An 18,779-nucleotide genomic window follows, 5' to 3' on the forward strand; every position below is an offset into this window, starting at 1 on the left:
CACATCCTTGCTCAGATCAGGCTCTTAAGGTTTACTATACTCTGAGGCTTGGAATGTAACCATCCTTCCTACTTCACAGAGTTGTACTGACAATCGGATGAGATAAGCCACGTGAAGGGCTTGGTATAGTACCCACCACAGAGTAAGTACTTAATGAATGTTGGCTATTATTACTGACATTAAAATGACATGCAAGTATAAGGGATGCTCTTATAATGTTCTGTAATCAAACCTAAAGACTAGACATACTATGATGTTTACTATGGCCTGGTCATAGCGAAGTCTAGTCTTTAGATGTGATTACAGAGCCCATTTCTCTTACAAGCCCATTTCTCTTATGCACCCAAATGGATACTTCTCACTTGGCAACTGACTCTTAATAATAGAAATAAGCCTCCCTGCATGAAAACCAGACACAAGTGCTGACAAATGGCTTAAAGGCACTGAGCTCATCTTCATCAACATTTTTAAAGAACAAAGCTGTTTCAGTAAGAGAAGGCAGGTGCTGAAGAACTGCCTTCTTTCTCTGTCTCAGAGTCAGGCTCAACTGGAGGGGAGAAGATTGGCCCTGGAGTGGGTTTATGGTTATGATAAGGTGGACAGAGAGGTAACTTCCTTTTTTTTTTTTTTTTTTTTTTTAAGATGGAGTTTCACTCTTGTTGCCCAGGCTGGAGTGCAATGGCGCGATCTCGGCTCACTGCAACCTCCGCCTCCCGGGTTCAAGCAATTGTCCTGCCTCGGCCTCCCTAGTAGCTGGGATTACAGGCATGTGCCACCATGCCCGGCTAGTTTTTTTTTGTATTTTTAGTAGAGACGGGGTTTCTCCATGTTGGTCAGGATGGTCTTGAACTCCCGACCTCAGGTGATCTGCCTGCCTCGGCCTCCCAAAGTGCTAGGATTACAGGCATGAGCCACCGCACCCAGTCCAGAGGGGTAACTTCTACAGTGTATGTGACATTAGGCTTTTGCAATCTAATGGGGTAACTAAGAAGGGTTTACCATCTATGAAGGGGTAACTTCTGCAATGTATGTGACCTAGGTGTTTACCATCTTCCTGTAAGATCGTGCAGCACGTTCAACAACATCCAGCATGGCAGCTAACTCCCTGAGCCACACGGGGCTGCGGGGGCTGTGGTTGACCAGGAATGAAGCCTTCTGCTTGAAGTTCACAGACAGCCCAGTAGGAAGCTCAGTGGAAATGACTCTGACTAGAGCTGCCATGTACCAGGCACTTCCTGCTTCACTAATGACCACCCTATAAAAAACAAAAGTGGCCTCTCTCGGCTCACTGGCTTATTGCCTTCACAACACTCAGTGCAATTGGTGCTTCTCTTATTTGTTGACTTGTGCACCATTTGTTTCCCCAACTAGAACAAACATCGGTTCTAAGAAGGCAGGGACCTTATGAGCATCTGGCATGTCACTGACATCTTAAGGCACGTTTGCTGAATGAGGAATTAAATAAATGAACGAATGACGTAAAATCTGCACAAAAATCCTGTGACACAGGTATTATTCACTCCATTATAGAGATTTAAAAAACCAAGACCCCAAAAGAATAAGTCACATGAAAAAGAGGCCACAGCAGTGAGTGGTAGAGCCAGAAGCTGAAAGAAGCTCAGGCCTTTCCTCTGGAGCCTCCCCAGGGTCAAAAGGGACCTGAGTGTGCCCTTAGAATGTCTGTGGCCAACGTGGACACTAGGTTTTCATGTCTTTCAAGTAATAATAATGAGCTTCAGATGTTTCTTCAATATCCTCCTAACCAACAACTCACTTAACCTTTTGTGGCCGTGTTTCCTCACTGTGAGTGATGGGGTTGATCACCAGGTGAGCCCAGGCTGGGGACAGGAGGCCTTGGCTCTGTCTTGGCTCAGCAGGTGGCAAGCTGGGCAGTTTGGGGCAAGTCATAGCATTTCTCAGGACTCAGTTTTCTAGCCTTGTGAAAAATGAAGGACCTTTGAGCTCCTTCCAATTCTGACTAGGTGTGGTTTTATGTTTAGACCAGTAAGGTCTAAAGGTGTATTCCCTGCCATGCCTCTAGGCTCTGCAGGGTTCACTTGAAGAAAGGGTTGAATGGGTTGGGCCTGGGTTCAGCTGCAACCCTGAAGTTAAGCATTTGTTGATTTCTACTTAGACAGACTTTGCATTGGAGATGGTATCTGAATGTCCTGGAGGTTGACAATAGACATTTTTAAAGGCTAAGGCTCCCAACTGCTGAAAACAAAGACAAGCTTGAAGCTGCTGTTGAGCTGCTCTGTGGCCTGGGAGCTCCCAGCTAAGTGGGCTGAGGTTCCAGGCGCTGCCCCCGTCCGTGCTGGCTAGTGAAGGCCTGGTCCCCTCCACAGACTGGGTTCCCAAACTGCTGTCTCCCAAGTGTGCACTACTGGTCATGGGGGGACTGAAAGAGCGGGTAGAGAGAGCAGCGTGAACACACAGCCGTTATTGGAAAACCTGAACATGCAGACAGCACTGCGCATTCCCCGAACCATAGCGCCAGCTCCTCTCCCACAGTGAGCAAGGGAGCAGAGAGATTGTTCCTTAGGGTTGTTTGCCTGTAACTTTTCACCAGCACCTAAAAGATTCAGAAAGGGTAATCGCACTCTGTTTGTTATTTATGCATGTTCTCCAGGACTGGCTACACAGAGTAAACACCTGGAAGCACATGGTAAGGAGCTTCCTTTTTCCTGAAGGGAGCTGTTTGTAAGGGCAGTGCCTGGGAACACTTTAAAAGGGTGAACACTAGGCATAAATCATAAAAGAATTTTGAGAATGTTATTCAGTCAACCTGGGTAGGCCCGAGCTGAATTTAATTTGACCCCCTCTCCGAATCTACCTGTCCATCTACCTCCCTATAGAGAAAGCCAGCATGGTTTGAGACTTAAATAGCAATTCTTAAAAATATGTGCTTCTCCCTCTAAGATGTCTTAGAAGTCTAAAGTACTAAGGAAAAGAAAGACAAAAGGTTTAATTTAGCACTAAGGACACTGGGGACACATTTTGTCAGGACTGAGTCCAAGAAATGTCAGTCTGAATGTCAAATCAACAACCTAGAAAAGGTCACTCTTTCCTTTATGTCCCTTTGTAGAGAACAATGATGCCATCCTGTGAGGCTAAGGGAAGTCCAACTTCTTCACTTGAGAGTGTCTTCATCTCTGCCATGGCCAACAAACCCTCTTGGTGGCCCAGGGCCCCGGCTGCTCAGGTATCGCCAGGCCCTCTTAACTCCGACATCCGTCTGGCTCTTCTCTGCCCACATCTTCCCTCCCTTGGGCTTCTAAGAACCCCTTTGGGCTCTAGCTAGTGACTCTCAGGTCAACGTGCTTTGAGGACTTAGACTAAAGCTCTGGGAAGGCAGAGGAGGTGCCTGGGAAGGATCGGGGGCTTGGATCTCATAGTCATGGCAGGAATTCAGCTAGAACTGGCTGGCACAGGGCAGGGCACTGGTTATCTCAAGCTCAGGCTACTTTGGTGAGGAGCCCCTGGCTTTCACGCTTCTCTTTCCGAGATACTTGTCCTGTGACACAGCTCAACAAAGAGAGAAAACTCATCCCTCAAGCTTGTAGCTTGGTCTCAATCCAAAGCTACTTACAGCAATCCTGTTGTTTTGATTTTTGGAGCCAGAGGTAATGCTAGACTCTCAAGTTTGGCTGGAATGTTTTTATCAGCTCCAGTGAGTCAACCTACCACAGTGGGACATCCGGACGCCCAGCTCAGAGACAAAGCAAGGGTCTGGTTTGGTGGTTGAGACTTGGGTGCAACAAGCAGACCAAAAGCCTGAAAGCCATCTCTGCTGTCAGTCATGTGATCTGGTGAAAACCCACAGGAAGTTCAGTGAACAGATGGAGGGCACAACTGCAATAATTTTATTACCACGAAAGTTGAATGGCGTTTTCCCCCTTCCACCTAAAGATGATATAAGATAGCATCAGAAACTCTAGCAAGCACCTGGCACAGGTCCAGAGTCTAATACAATTTAAAATCCAATAGCTACATAGCAGATTGAAAAAAAAAATTCAAGACCATATTAAGCCTCTGAATAGACAAGGAAATGGGAGATTGCTGGTCGCAAGGCAGACCAGTAACTGTTGGCAGATGGCGCAGGTCGGGAGTGATGGGTTAGTGACTACAGACAGCACGTGCAGGGCTTGTGGTGGGCAGTCCTGCTCAGATGAAAACTACACAGGTTTGGAGATCCTGTCGTAAAATAGCAGAGGACGCATTTACATTCTTTTTTTAATTCTGGGGGTGAAGGATAAATTTGGGGATTACGTAGCCTCACTATCATTCCTCCTCCATATCCTATTGCTGTGTAACTTTAGTTCATCAATGATAAGTCCTTAAACCAAATGTTGGTGGGCTTCAGCTAAACAGGAGGCATTTGCTTGGCTGTAGAGGAAAGAGAGGAATAACTTCTGCTCCTTGAACAGGGTGCGTCAGTTAGCGGGAGGAAACAAGAACAAGCGGGGAGCATGACCCAGGATGGGAGGTGGGTGGTGCTCCCGGACGATGCTCTCCCAGGTAGTTCTGGCGAATACTGGGGCCAGGAGGTTTTACGTGGGCTTGGACAGCAAACTCTGGGAGAAATAATGAATCATCAGTTCAGCTAAATTGTTGATCAAGACTGAAGTGCAGGCTCTTCCAAGTGTAATGGAGGGAGTGACAAATCTATGAAATATTATAATTTAACAAAAAGAAGATAAGCACTGGTCTATGAATAACATCAGCAATGAATGTGGAAAAGTTTCATTTTATGTTAATTTTACAATTAATGAAGAACTTTATTTGTTTCTTTATTGAGACGGAGTCTTGCTGTGTCACCCAAGCTGGAGTGCAGTGGTGCGATCTCGGCTCACTGCAACCTCTGCCTCCCGGGTTTAAGTGATTCTCCTGCCTCAGCCTCTCAAGTAGCTGGGATTAGAGGGGCATGCCACTACGCCCGGCTAATTTGTTGTATTTTTAGTAGAGATAGGGTTTCACCATGTTGGCCAGGCTGGTCTTGAACTCCTGACCTCAGGTGATCTGCCCGCCTTGGCCTCCCAAAGTGCAGGAATTACAGGCGTGAGCCACTGTGCTGGGCCAGAACTAAATTTAAAATATAGGAAATTATAAAGGACCACTTATTAGAAGTTACAAGTTAAGAAACACAAAGTTAAAATTAAGAAGCCCATCATGAGAGTGGCTCAAAAGACAGTTGCAACACATGGCATATCTAGGAACACCATGGCTGGCGACACAGAGGGACTTGGGCAGGGGGTCTCTGGGCACTAAGTTACCACCCAAGAGGGGCACTTACAAGGTTGGCAGACACGGATCCTGAGCTCAGGAAATGGTTTCACCACTGTGGAGTGTCCACAAGTGACACTAACAGTTTTTGTAAGTAAGGGCGAAAAGACTCTTCGGGAAAACATGGAGGATATAAAGTGGAGCCCCATGCTCGGGACAAGCTCTCCACAAACCATCGTATCATTGGCTAGAACTGGAAGCCCCCTTGAGTCTGAATCTTGAGCAAATGTCCCTGGTAGGACCTCTGTCACAGACCCAGGCTAAGGGGATTCACAGAAAGGAGAGAAACTTAATCTTCGGTTTTCAATTTCTCTCTCTTTTCTGGGGGCTGGTGGGAAGGTACAGACTCTCCTGCTGCCTTGGTGTGTGGGCAGGGTTGTGACTTGTGGAGACAGGGCTGGGGTGGGGGTTGCTGGAACTGCATGTGGAGGGACCCTCTGGAGCAGACAGAGGCTGACAGCACCCTTCTGGGGCCGATCTGCAGTGAGGTGTGGCTAGAGGTAAGTTTGGAGAGGTGGGTGGAGGCACGGAGGCAGCCTTGAGGGAAGCCTGTTCACCTGGGAAGCCTAGAGTCGAGGGGACAGATGGAGGACAGAGACTCGTGATCTAAAAGCCATCAGCTGCGGGGCACCAGGTGAAGTTGCCTACGCGTCAACTCCTCAGGAAGGCTGACTGCATTACTGAGTCAAACTGCCTGATGCAAATCAATTCCTACTTAGGAGGCTGGGAGAAGGAGAATATTTTGATTCCAAGGTAGGAGATGGGGGCAAAAGTGGAGAATTCTGCTGTCTGTCTTCAAAGATGATGATACTAATGAGAGACAGAATCTGAATACGAGGTGCCAAGAGTCCTTCCTAACCCACAGCAGTGATGCTGTCTTTGAGGTTCTCAACAGATTGGGTGGGATCCTGCCCATTAGTAGCCCCAGGCCAAGCTGCAGAGCTTCCCAAAATGCCGAGGGCCAAATGGGCAGAATGCTAAACGAAAGCACAGCAGCATGCTGTGGGTGAGTAACCTGAATTCCCTTTCTTGGACAAAGGTCTCCCCGCCTTCGTGAGAATGGGAAGGCAAAGACTACGATGAGCTGAAGCCTGGAAAGGCTGGGTGAAGAAATGTTTCCCTCCAGCGTTCCAGGAAATATCCTGGGAGGGCTCACACCAAAAGATGAACAAGCAACCAGCGGCTGACTCTAATGGAACAACGGCTTCCCGCTGCTGGCCAGTGAGGATGGAGGTGGTGACACTGCCACGGCAGCTGAGGCGACTCAGCCCAGCAGCCACGTGAGCCTGGCTAGGGGAAGTGAGTAATGAGGGGGCTGGGGGAGGTGCAGGCTGAAGGAAACTTTGGGGTTTCTCAAGTCGTTCCTGTCTCTTCAGCTGTCACCCTCTGCTCCCACTTTCCTGAAATGGAGGCAGGACTCTTCAGACAACTCAGAGACTCAAGAGCCACCAAATGGGCTCAGGCCCTGCTTTCTGCTAGCATTGCCACAGAGCCCCTAAAAGCCACTGAAGACAGGCCATTTTCATTGACACTGTCAGAGTAGAAAAGAAAGAGAATACTTGAAACTCTGTTTTCCAAAACCAAAGTAGAGAAAGCTAATAAGCAAGGGACAGGTGATGTGATCAGAAATCAAACAGGATTTGGCTCTCAGGCTACATGCCACTGAGGAGAGGAGAATCTTCACAGAGGGCTAATGAGTGTAAAAATATTCGTATTTGTAAGCTGAAACAAAGATTGAATCTCCATTAATAAAAGCCTATTCTTTTTCATTCATGATTCCTGCTTTATTTATTTTATTATTATTTTTAAAGACAGAGTCTCACTCTGTTGGCCAGGCTGGAGTGCATTGGTGTGATCTCGGCTCACTGTAGCCTCAACCTCCCAGGCTCAAGCGATCCTCCCACTTTAGACTCCCTAGTAGCAGGGACTACAGGCGCATGCCACCACAACTGGGTAATTTTTTTTTTTTTTTTGTATTTTTAGTAGAGACGGGGTTTCACCATGTTAGCCAGGATGGTCTCGATCTCCTGACCTCATGATCCGCCCACCTTGGCCTCCCAAAGTGCTGCGATTACAGGCGTGAGCCACCGCGCCCGGCCACACCTGGGTCATTTTTGTATTTTTTGTAAAGACATGTTTTTGCCACATTGTCCAGGCTGGTCTTGAATTCTGGGGCTCAAGAGATCTGTTGCCCATCTCAGCCTCCCAAAGTGCTGGGACTACAGGTATGAGCCATGGCCTGGGCCAATTCCTGCTTTTACCCTTTCCTGTACAAAAAGGCATAGGTCGTAAGTTTCATATCTCAGTGTGTTAGCAATGTAAAACCTGGCTCACCATATCCAAAATAGGGTCTTGATCTGGCCTTGGGCAGGCTAGAAATTTAACTGCACTGGTATAAATCCATGTGATCTGAACTTTTTTTTTGGTAATTTTCTTATGAAGGGAGCAGTTTCACAGTTTACAACTTTATGAACTAGCAATAACACCATGGGCAGGATAGAGGGAAAGTACATTCAGAGGTGGCAAAGCAGTGATGCTGACCAATCAGACAAAGAGACCGCAGAGAGGAAGGACTTCACCTCTGCAGACTGCTGCTCCTTGAGCCCAGGTCTCTCGTGGACACTGCTCAGGGGCTGGCTCAGGCAGGGCCACAGACGAGCATGCACAGTGTTTCCCAGGCAGGCCTGTGGCACGATGGGGCCAGAAAGAGCCAGGGCAAGGGAGCTGGGAGTCATGCTCATTCCCACTTGCCCCATATGTTAACTGGGGCGGGGGGTTTGGTAGTGGCCCAGGAGTCGCCCTGCCCCATTGTTCCTAGTCTGACAGCTGAAGCTGCACCAGGCACACCACCATGACATCTGCTGTCTTCCTCTCCTCAGCCTAGACAGGCTGGAAGGCAGAAGAGCAGTAGGCAGCTGGCATTTCATGCTCCCCATGGCAACTGTCGCACTGATCAATTACTTGAAATTTCAATAAATACCATGAAAACGAAGTGTAAACTTTTAAGACTACCATGTACCTCTCCCATTTAGGCTATGAATGGTATCATGGAGGGAAAATTCAAGACGTCTGGATTTTAGAGGTGGCTCTGACACTAATAAACTTGGACAAACCATGTCCCTCTTTGACACTTAGTTACTTCATCTATAAACCATTACGGCTGATGAGGTCTGCTCTGACTGGTGGAGACTGGAGCTGAAGACTGACTGTGATGTTGAGGTGGTGCAGGCAGGGCTGAGAGGCCCAGTGAGGGCCAGGCACAACTGCTGGCTAGACTCTGTTAGCACCTTGCTCTGACTTCTCCAAGCAGTCCCAGAGAAGGGCCTCAAAGGAGTCCATCTTCTGCCTTGGAACAAGGTTCAAAGCCAAAGGACAACTGGAAAATACAAGACCTTTCCCTTCTCTATCATGATTTTTTTCAAATCAATGCCCCAGAAGGCAAGTAAAACATCTGTAGATGAAGCATTTGGAGATCTCTAGTCATTTTCAAAACAAGGAATTAAGAGCAAGCACTCATATTTTATAACACAGGCTCCAATTTTGCTAAATTTACATTTTTTTCTTTTTCTTCTTTTTTTTTTTTTTCCTCAGAGGCAGGGTCTTGCTCTGTTGCTCAGGCTAGAGTGTAGTGATATGATCATAGTTCATTGCAGCCTCAAACTTCTGGGCTCAAGTGATCCTCCCACCTCAGCTTCCTGAGTAGCTAGGACCACAGGTCTGCACCACCATGCCTGGCAAATTTTTAAATTTTTTATAGAGATGGGGTCTCACTATGTTGCCCAGGCTGGTTTTGTGGTCAAGTGATCCTCCTGACTTGACCTCCACAAAGTGCTTGGGTTACAGGTGTGAGCCACACTGCCTGACACAAATTTACATATTTCAATAAAGAAAGACACACTGCTTATCTCTTAAGGGACCAATGATAGATAATTCAATTTGTTATACACTGTAAGCATGAAAATTAAACAACATTGAGAGTTACCTTGGAAACACCCATAAAACATTTTAAAGGATCTTTCAAAAGGAAATTCCAAATTTAAATAATCAACATACTATAATAAGACACTTATATTTGGGGTTATTTAGAGCAAGAGGATGTAGAACATACCTTTTTTTTTAAATCAAAATTTGTTATACATAAGAAAAAGTGAAAACTCTAAATTTCCCCTAGAGAGAACTAATGTATGCTCAGCACAAAAGGGGTGACAACATCTGAGTTTTGGAACTTGTACAATGAAAAAGCAGATTTAAGGAAGACAGAATGATGTGCTTATTTAAAGAGAAACTTATACTGTAAATACATCTTCTATGGTTTCTACCTCTAAGTGCATACGAAACACTTTCTGATGAAGAAAGATGTTTCAAGATAAAACTTCTGATTAAATCCCTCTTGCAAGGATTATTAGTGTCCTTATAGAAAAGACCACAGCCAGCCAGCTAGTCCCGTCCACCATGTAAGGACACAGCTAGAGGGTGCTGTCTACGAACCACAAAGTGGGCCCTCAGCAGACACCAAATCTGCTGGTGCTTTGATCTTAGACTTCTCAGCCTCCAGGACAGTGAAAAGTAAGTTCTGTTGTTTATAAGCCTCCCATTCCACAGTATTTGGTTATAGCAGCCCCAGCGAACTAAGACAAAAGGTGACCTGCTCACCCATGCATCCTTCTTTCCTTTTTATTAATATTTACATTATAACTGTAATCACTAGTGCTTTAACAAATACAATGGTGATACAAAATAATGGTCATCTTTGCCACCTGGTTGATGGGTCTGCATCACTGAGCTGTGACTGTACCAGGACCCTAACACAATGGTTGATCCTTAGCTGTTTTCCTGGCTGTTCCGGAAGTCAGGCCTGTAGCAAGGGGCTCAGCTGGCAGTTAGGGGCCCAGGTGGCTGCTACACAGTGTGGTGGTATGAGGGAGGGGGCTGTGCTGGGAGTCCTGCAAGCTGAAGGCTTACTCAGTACCACCGGAGACCCAACATCTTATTATGGAAAATTACCCATGCACACCAAAGTGGGGAAAATAATACAGTGAACACTGTGTGCCCATCAACCAGCTACAAGCCATTAACTCATGGGCACTCATTTAAGCTACCCCAACTTCCCTCCTCTGAATTAGTTTGATGTTAATTCTGGACATTATATATTTTCACTCTTAAATATTAACCTAATTAAACAGGTAAGAACATTTTACCCTGCTTTAAGAAAACCCAATATGAGAATAAAATAAATTATAGGGTGACGTTTTGTACCATAAAAGCATTTAATAAAAATATGAAATATGGTCCCTGCCCTTAAGGATCTTAACATTTACTTGGAGAGCTAAGATAAATGCAAATGAAAAAAAATCACTAAAAAGCAATCCTCTAACATAACCTAATGTTAGAAAGTACAATGCAATAATTGCCAGTTCTGATTTGTATGGACTCTGGAGTCTCCACAAACTGGGTGCCCAGGACCTCTGAGCTTCATTTGCTTCCTCTCCTTTAAGCAAACCATCAGCCTCTGCCAGGTGAGCTCCCTGGGGTCCCCTGCACACTTCAGGCAAATGCCCGCCTCCATGCCTTTTCTGACAGGTCTCTTTATAGCTAGGATGTCCTTCCCACCACACTTCCATTTCCTACAGTGCTGGTGCGGATGCTTCCCTCCCTCCAGAGTCTTAAGTGGTCCTCTCCAGTGCCCAGTATCTGCCTGCTTACAGCATTACCTGTATATTTCCTACAAAGTGCCTGGCTGGACATGGGTTTGGATAGTTTCCATTCACTACTGGACATAAATGATTTGAAGGTAGGCTCTCTGTGTGCCATGCAGCCCCAGGTCAGGCATTGCTGAGTGAGGAACAGTACCCTCTGCCACAGGGTGGCTTAGAGAAGGGAGGGGGGAGAGAGGGGGAGAGGGGGAGAGGGGGAGAGGAGGAGAGGGGAAGGGAGGGGGGAGGGGGGAGAGACGGAGGGGGAGAGAGGGAGGTGGGGGGAGAGAGGGAGAGGGAGAAGGAGGGAGAGAGAGAGAGAGAGGGGGAGAGAGGGAGAGGGAGAAGGAGGGAGAGAGAGAGAGACCGTGAAAAGTACAGTCAGGGGATGCTGGCAAGATAGTTCACCTGGGGTGGTCCTGATGGAGAGGAGAGAAGTGTAAGGCACTGCCTAGTCAGGGAAATTGTTCAGAAGCCTGGCTGAGAAAAAGATTTGAACCATCCCTTTCTGAGCAGTTCCTGGGTAGTGAGGGGGGCATGAACAAAAAAGTCCATAATAAAAACCTGATCATGTTACTCTGTGCTTAAAAAAATCTCAATGGCTTCTCAATGGAAACCACTGCCACAGAAGATACCAAAAAGTAGAGGCAGCGCCTCCGAACCATGGTGTTCATAATCTAGACATGGAGATAAAACATGTACAAAAATAACTATCAGACAAGATAGGAGGTGATAATATCATCTGAAGTGTGCAAATAAGTGTAATCTGTGGGGATCCAGGGAAGGGAGAAATTAAACTGGAAGCATCAAGAAAGGCTTCAAGGAGGAGAAGGCACCTAGGTGGTCTGTAAACAAAGGGTAGGATTTGGGCATGTGGAGGTGGGGGGAAGGGCATCCCAGGCAGAGGAATAATAGAAGCACAGACAGGGAGACAGAAAAGCACAAGGGTGCCCACGGACCAGCCGGTGTGTTTGAGAATAAGAGGGGGAATGTGAAAATAGCTTGGAAGGCAGGTTTATGGAGATCTGCTGAGACTGAGCCTAGACTTTTCTGCATACAAAGTGGGGCCACTCCACGCACCTGAGCAAAGCTGTGCCCAGGACCTCAGCGTGCTCTTGGGAGACTACTTGGGAAACAATGTGGTCCCTCTGGATGGGAGGGAAGCAGCCCTTGGAGGGGAGCAGCTGGGGGACTAGTGCAGGGTCTAGGCGATGGGGGCTGAGGGCCAGGACCCAAAGATGACAGTGGGAACAGAGGAGAGCTGGCAGTGCCACCAGGGTGAGTGGGCAGAGAGACTTGGCAGCTCTTCACAGCTGCCTCTCCCCAGAAAGGGAAGGAAATCAGGGCTGGGAAGGAAGAGATCTAGAAATGAATCCAAGAGCTTCCTCTGTAAATAGTCAAACTTCATATGTTTAGAGTCCAGTGACCTGTGTTGCTTTTGTTTTTCCCTAGAAACAAAAGAGCACACAAATAAAATTCTGTTTCCATCCTCCATCTGGCTCCATCCTAATAAGTCTTTATTTTTCTGATACGGTCTCTCTTTGAGCCAGTTTGCCTCTGGGAAAGGGTCTCTGTGCAGCTGACCTCATGGTGCCTGGATGTTCAGTTTAGCAGTAGCTGCAGAGACAAGCCTCCAGGCCTGATAGCCTCATAGCCCAGATTAAGCAAGCTGTCTGGAAGGCTTGTCAGAATTATAATTCTCCTGCCTTTATCTTCAAAGGTTAGAAAACGGGGAGAGAGAGACTGGGAGAAAGTCCCAATACACATTTCTGAAGGAAGGAGGTTTTACTTATTCTATACATTTTAATCTGATTGTCAGCCCTATAAATCTTACAAAACTAAAACAATGGCTTAGGAACAAGGGCAGACTCACTGTCACCAACGATTAACTTTCTGATCACAGTCTAGGAAGCACACTCTTATCTAGCCCAGCTCAGGACCTGCTGACTATGACCTAGTCAGTCCCCAGGCCTTGACTGTGGGATCTCCGAGGCCTGCAAATACAGCCACTGATGGACTCTTCTGGTCCTCCTGCCATAAATGTGAAGCCAGCAAGCTTCCTCCCACAGGTTTCAGGGAAAACCACGAGCCCTTAAGATTCCCGAGACAAGAGTTAAAGTGGACTAGACTCCAGGTGCTTTGCACCAACGGCACAGTGCCCAGCCCTGACTGCCATGCACAGAACACACACGGGTGGCCATGCTGTTTGCCATTTGTTCTCCTCCACCTGACTCCTGAATTATTTGGAAAGGAAATAGGAGTCTTTGGAACACACTAGGGCTAACGGTTCCAGCTTAGAAAAACTGACTTCAGTGAGGGGTCACCCTCTTTACAAAGTTTAGAAAAAGTCGCTCCCCTTCAGAAGTGTGCATTCAAATTTCACCCCAGGGATTCTTCCTCATCCTGTTTCCTTTCCACCTTTGAAAATGAGGGTGGAAATGGATGTCGTGATGGGAAGGAGATTATAATCCACCTGGAAAGCCAATGAGGCAATACCCCTTAATCTGTGGGCAGAAGGCAACCAACTCCCTGTGCAGGAGCTTTCTGTGTCTGGAATATTTTGCCATGATCGGTTTTTAGCCACCTCTCACTTCCAGTGTAGCAAAATCTACAGGAAATGGAACCCTACTAATTGGAACTTTCACTAAAGCACACCTATTTTTAGGACAAAGGAACAAATAAGAGAAAAAGCACATATTCAGCAAGTTAAAAAACAACTGCTACAGAACCCTCCACTGAGATTATTACATTCTCTGCCCAATTTCCCACACCTGACACAGGTCTGTCCAGGGAGAAACCACATGAGAAGGATGAGTGAAACCGCAAGATTAGGAATTAATCAAAAGAGAAAAGCCAGATTTCTTTTCTTTTTTTTTTTTTTTTTAAATCCATGCCTAAAGAATTTCCCTCTTACTAAAAACCTTGGGAAATAAGTTATATTTTGTAAATAGATATATGAACAGAACTAAAGAAATATATACATGAAAAACACTGTTACAGGACTAAGAAACTAAATGTGGTTTAGGACAGTCACTGTTGGGGGGACCATGTTCTCTAATGGGACAGCCACAACCATACAACAAGGTGATAATTCAAAATATGAAGTGCTCTAATAGCTGGGCTGCTAAGTGGTTGGAAAGGCTTTGCTGAGAAGGTAGTAATTTCTTTCTTTCTCTCTCTTTTTTTTTTTTTTTTTTTTTTTTTAGACAGAGTTTAGCTCTTGTCGCCCAGGATGGAGTGCAGTGGTGCCATCTTGGCTCACTGCAGCCTCCGCTTCCTGGGTTGAAGCGATTCTCCCATCTCAGCCTCCCAAGTAGCTGGGATTACAGGCACCTGCCACTATGCCTGGTTAACTTTTTTGTATTTTTTGTAGAGACACGGTTCTGCCATGTTGACCAGGCTGGTCTTGAACGCCTGGCCTCAAGTGATCCACCTGACTTGGCCTTCCAAAGTGCTGGAATTACAGGTGTGAGCCACGGTGCCTGGCTGAAGGTAATAATTTCTAAACCCTAAGAGAAAGGGGTGAGTTTGGGTAGGGAAGAAGCACTTTAGACATTGGGAAAAAATCTGAATACAGTCATGTATGCAAAAACAATGAAAATAACTTTACTTTTAGAAGGGAGACAGTAGAACCAGTCACTCCCAAAAGGACTAGCCTTCTTATTTTTAATTTATTATATACTGAGAGTTTACAATTTATAAACCTATATAGAATCCTACATGAAACTGATAGTCTAATCATGTACATTATACAAAATCTAATCAGAACAACTGCCATGCCTGGAAAAGTAGCATTTTTAGGCAGATTCGAGTTTGGAAATATAAATTTTCTGATTTCAAAATGGGATGCTTCATAAACCTATTCGTTGGTCAACAAAATTAACTTCTCAGATTTCAATTATTTTAAGCTAATCTTTTTATTCTATCCTCCTCAGAAGTCATTTGTCACTTATAATGAAAATGCCTTTGAAGTAAACGTGCAAAAATTCACATCAAACATAATTCTGAAAATAGATCCACTTCTGTGAAGCTCTCCACACCAGGGTCTATGACTTCATACTCCCTAAAGAAACTGTTAACAGTAAGAAATTTCCCATTCACTTTCTGAGGGCCGCTCTATGATCTATTTGATTAAATTCTACTTGAAAACTAAAAATAACACAAAACTAGCTAGACTGATGCAAGGGAAGTTTTAGCCTTTGCACTTATATGTGGAGAGGCTAGCAGGCATTTGAAATCTCCAGCAAGAGTGTATTAAGCTCTATTAATAAATCACTGGGATAGCATGTTCAAAATACGTATATATTTTTCCTTTTCACACTTCTAAATCTGCAACTAAAATAAATTTAGGTTTAATTTTTACCATGTTCAAAATTGTAGTTTCTCTCTTTACTTTCAAATACTGTTTTGGAATTCAACCTCTTTGTTGTTCATAATGTATCTAGTATGAATTTATAGTCACTTCATGACTAAACATTGTCTCTTAAAAACACAGATGTTCTATCCCCAAGGGTTGCTAAGCTATTAACAAATTGTTTTCTCAAAGTTTTTACTTACTTACATGATTTAAATTAGCTACACTCATTTCTGAAAGCATTGAACTGTTTAAGTTATGCTTAAAAGTTACTTGTTTAGCCACTTCATTAGTAGATCAGAGAGAGTAACTAAAAAATACAAATTGGCTGCAAGTGCTCACAGACAAATCACAAGCTTGGCTTGGGCTTCTTTGCACTGCACGTCACTAAAATACCCACAGAAGGCTTGGGTCTTGATTTTAGAGAAATCAGGGATATAAACTATTTTCCCATTCCTATTTGCTTTAAAACCAGTAACTCTGCTAACTCCAAGTCCATACATTCATGACAACAACTTCCTCTAACTCATATTGCCTAGGCCATGTTTTCCTTTTTCTAGTGAAACAGTTAATTTTTTTCTTTTTGAGACGGAATTTCGCTCTTGTTGCCCAGGCTGAAGTGCAATGGTGCGATCTTGGCTCACCGCAACCTCCGCCTCCTGTGTTCAAGCAATTCTCCTGCCTCACCCTCCCGAGTAGCTGGGATTACAGGGATGCACCACCATGCCTGGCTAATTTTGTATTTTTAGTAGAGACAGGGTTTCTCCATATTGGTCAAGCTGGTCTCAAACTCCTGACCTCAGGTGATCTGCCCACCTTGGCCTCCCAAAATGCTGGGATTACAGGCATGAGCCACTGCACCCGGCCTCAATTTTTTTTTTTAACTACATGCTTGTAGTAAAATCAAATATATTATTCACTGAAAAAAAATTAAAAACAGGGCTTATAAAATTATCACTAAAATTAGTTCCACAATCCAAACATATAACAACTATGAAATACTTTGATGTATCTCTTTCTAGTCCTTTTAGTGAGGGGCATAGATCACATCTTAGGAGAGCAAAAACGGGTGAAATCATTTGATTTTTATATGCAAATGGAAAGAGGGAGAATAATTTTCCATAGGTGATTTTTACCTTCATTGGAATCCCTTTAACATTTCTATCACTTACCATAGTTTGTTCACTTTTTAAGTAAAGGAGCCTTCATGGACCGCTCCTCCCCACTTTATAAAAACAACTTTTATTTTGTGAAATATAATATGCATACCGAAAAGTTCCCAAGTGTAAAAGTGTAACAACTAAATAGGTTGGTGCAAAAGTAATCGCGTTTTTTGCCATATAGCAAAAACCACGATTACTTTTGCACCAACCTATAGCAGAAGGTGAACACTTATGGAATTACTGCTCCAGCCTGATCAGGGAACTCTCTCCCATCTCCCTGGCCATCACCACCCTGATTTTTGTGGTAGGCGCTCCCTGCTCTTTCTTATACTTACTTTTACCACCTATACCTGCATTCCATAGCCCTCTCGGCGAGTTCTATCTGTGAATTTTATGTTAATGGAATTACACAGTGTATAACCTTCTGTATTTGGATTCTTTCACTTACCATTATGCATGTGAGATTGAAACATGTTGGGTTTGGCTGTGATTCATTCACGGTCATTGCTGTATTCTGTTGCCTGAATGTACCACAACTTATTAATTAATTCTACCACTGATGGACACTGGGTTGTTTCCAGGGTTGGACTGTTATGAACAATTGTGCTATGAACATTCTTACACATCTCCTCGTGTGCAAGGGCAGGCATTTAGGTTAGATGCTTACCTAGGAGTGGGAGAGAGTATGCATATACATCTGTTCGACTTTAGCAGATAAGCCAAACTGGTTTCCAAAGTATCTGTACAATTTGGATTCTTTTTTTTTTTAAGGTTTTCATGACCACATCATACCTTCTTTACTGCTTTTCTTATCCCTGATCTTGCCCTATATCAAACCTTCCCTGGATATTGTTACAGCTTACAAGGTGGCTATCATACTTGCATCTTGGCCAACATAGCCTCCTGTACTTTGGCCACTCATACCTCTTCATCCCATCACAATGAAGATACATGCAGTGTGTGTCTATTGTATACAGGGTCCCAGGCTGATTACTGGGGATATAAAAAGGCAGATAGCAGGTCCTTGACATCAGGTGTTACAACCGAGTTTGGAAAAAGGAAATATAGTTAAGATCTTACCAGAAGCAGCATATACTAAACAGCTAATAAATGGTGTAGATAATGAGCACTATGGAAGTTCAGTAGAGGAAGGAGTGGGGTGATGTGAGTGTTATGGAGGTTCAGTAGGGGAAGGAGTGGGGTGATGTGAGCACTATGGAGGTTCAGTAGAGGAAGGAGTGGGGTGATGTGAGCACTATGCAGGTTCAGTAGAGGAAGGAGTGGGGTGACATGTTATGGAGGTTCAGTAGGGGAAGGAATGGGGTGATGTGAGCACTATGGAGGTTCAGTAGAGGAAGGAGTGGGGTGATGTGTTATGGAGATTCAGTAGGGGAAGGAGTGGGGTGATGTGTTATGGAGGTTCAGTAGGGGAAGGAGTAGGGTGATGTGAGTGTTATGGAGGTTCAGTAGAGGAAGGAGTAGGGTGATGTGAGCACTATGGAAGTTTGGTAGGAGAAGGAGTGGGGTGATGTGAGTGTTACGGAAGTTTAGTAGGGAAGGAGTGGGGTGATGTGTGAAAATCTTGGGGAGAATCTCTGGCCTTCGCTGGCCCTCGTGGGAAACAAGCACAGGCTGAGGCTGGGAGCGTGCATGCCATGTTCAGAGAACTGGGAGGGATCAACGTTATCCTGAAACAATTGTCCATGCCACATGCAGGGGCAGAGCAGAAGAATCTGCCTCTCAAATGGCCAGTTAAAGATCAACTTGCAGTTAAATAACACACAACAAAATAAAGTATGCCAGTTAAAAATATTAAATTTAGTCACAAATGTGCATGAAAGTAGAACTCAAAAAGACAGTTCTAAAAATATTTATGGTACTAGAATACTGAGCCCCCGAGATCTAGCCTGAGGACATGGTCCCTCCAAGGCATAAACAGATCTGAGATGTTACTGCTGACAGAACACCCACCCCTCCAAAACTGGCCCTTTTGCAAAGGCGTTTCATTAGTCACAAAGAGGATAGGTCAATGAAAGAGAATTTGAGTTAACATAAATACATCATAAACATCAAGCCAAAACTCATGGCATCATCCTTCTACACAAAGAATAGCACAGGGGCAATGACTAGTAATAGTTGGACTTTCAAGCTTTTTTGAGGCTGCTTTGAGAGGGGACTGTGGACTGATATTAACAGTTACAGTGTCCCTTGAATGCAGAGAAAAGCCATGTGTAGTACAAAGGGACATGACCAGGTGCAGTCAGGAAGTCCAGGATAGGAGCCTGG

At 44.9% G+C, this 18,779-nt stretch overlaps 1 protein-coding gene and 1 non-coding gene across 37 annotated transcripts in view; both read right to left on the minus strand.

The window, feature by feature from the left end:
* Nucleotides 1-18,779, minus strand: part of DYM (dymeclin) — a 424,259-nt gene that overhangs the window by 13,078 nt on the left and 392,402 nt on the right. The gene's annotated exons all lie outside the window — the stretch shown is intronic.
* On the minus strand, nt 223-304 carry MIR4744 (microRNA 4744). Its single transcript, NR_039898.1, has one exon. It is a non-coding gene; the product is annotated as a microRNA 4744 (primary transcript).

Source organism: Homo sapiens, chromosome 18, assembly GCF_000001405.40.
Source record: "Homo sapiens chromosome 18, GRCh38.p14 Primary Assembly".
Taxonomy (NCBI): Eukaryota; Metazoa; Chordata; class Mammalia; order Primates; family Hominidae; genus Homo; species Homo sapiens.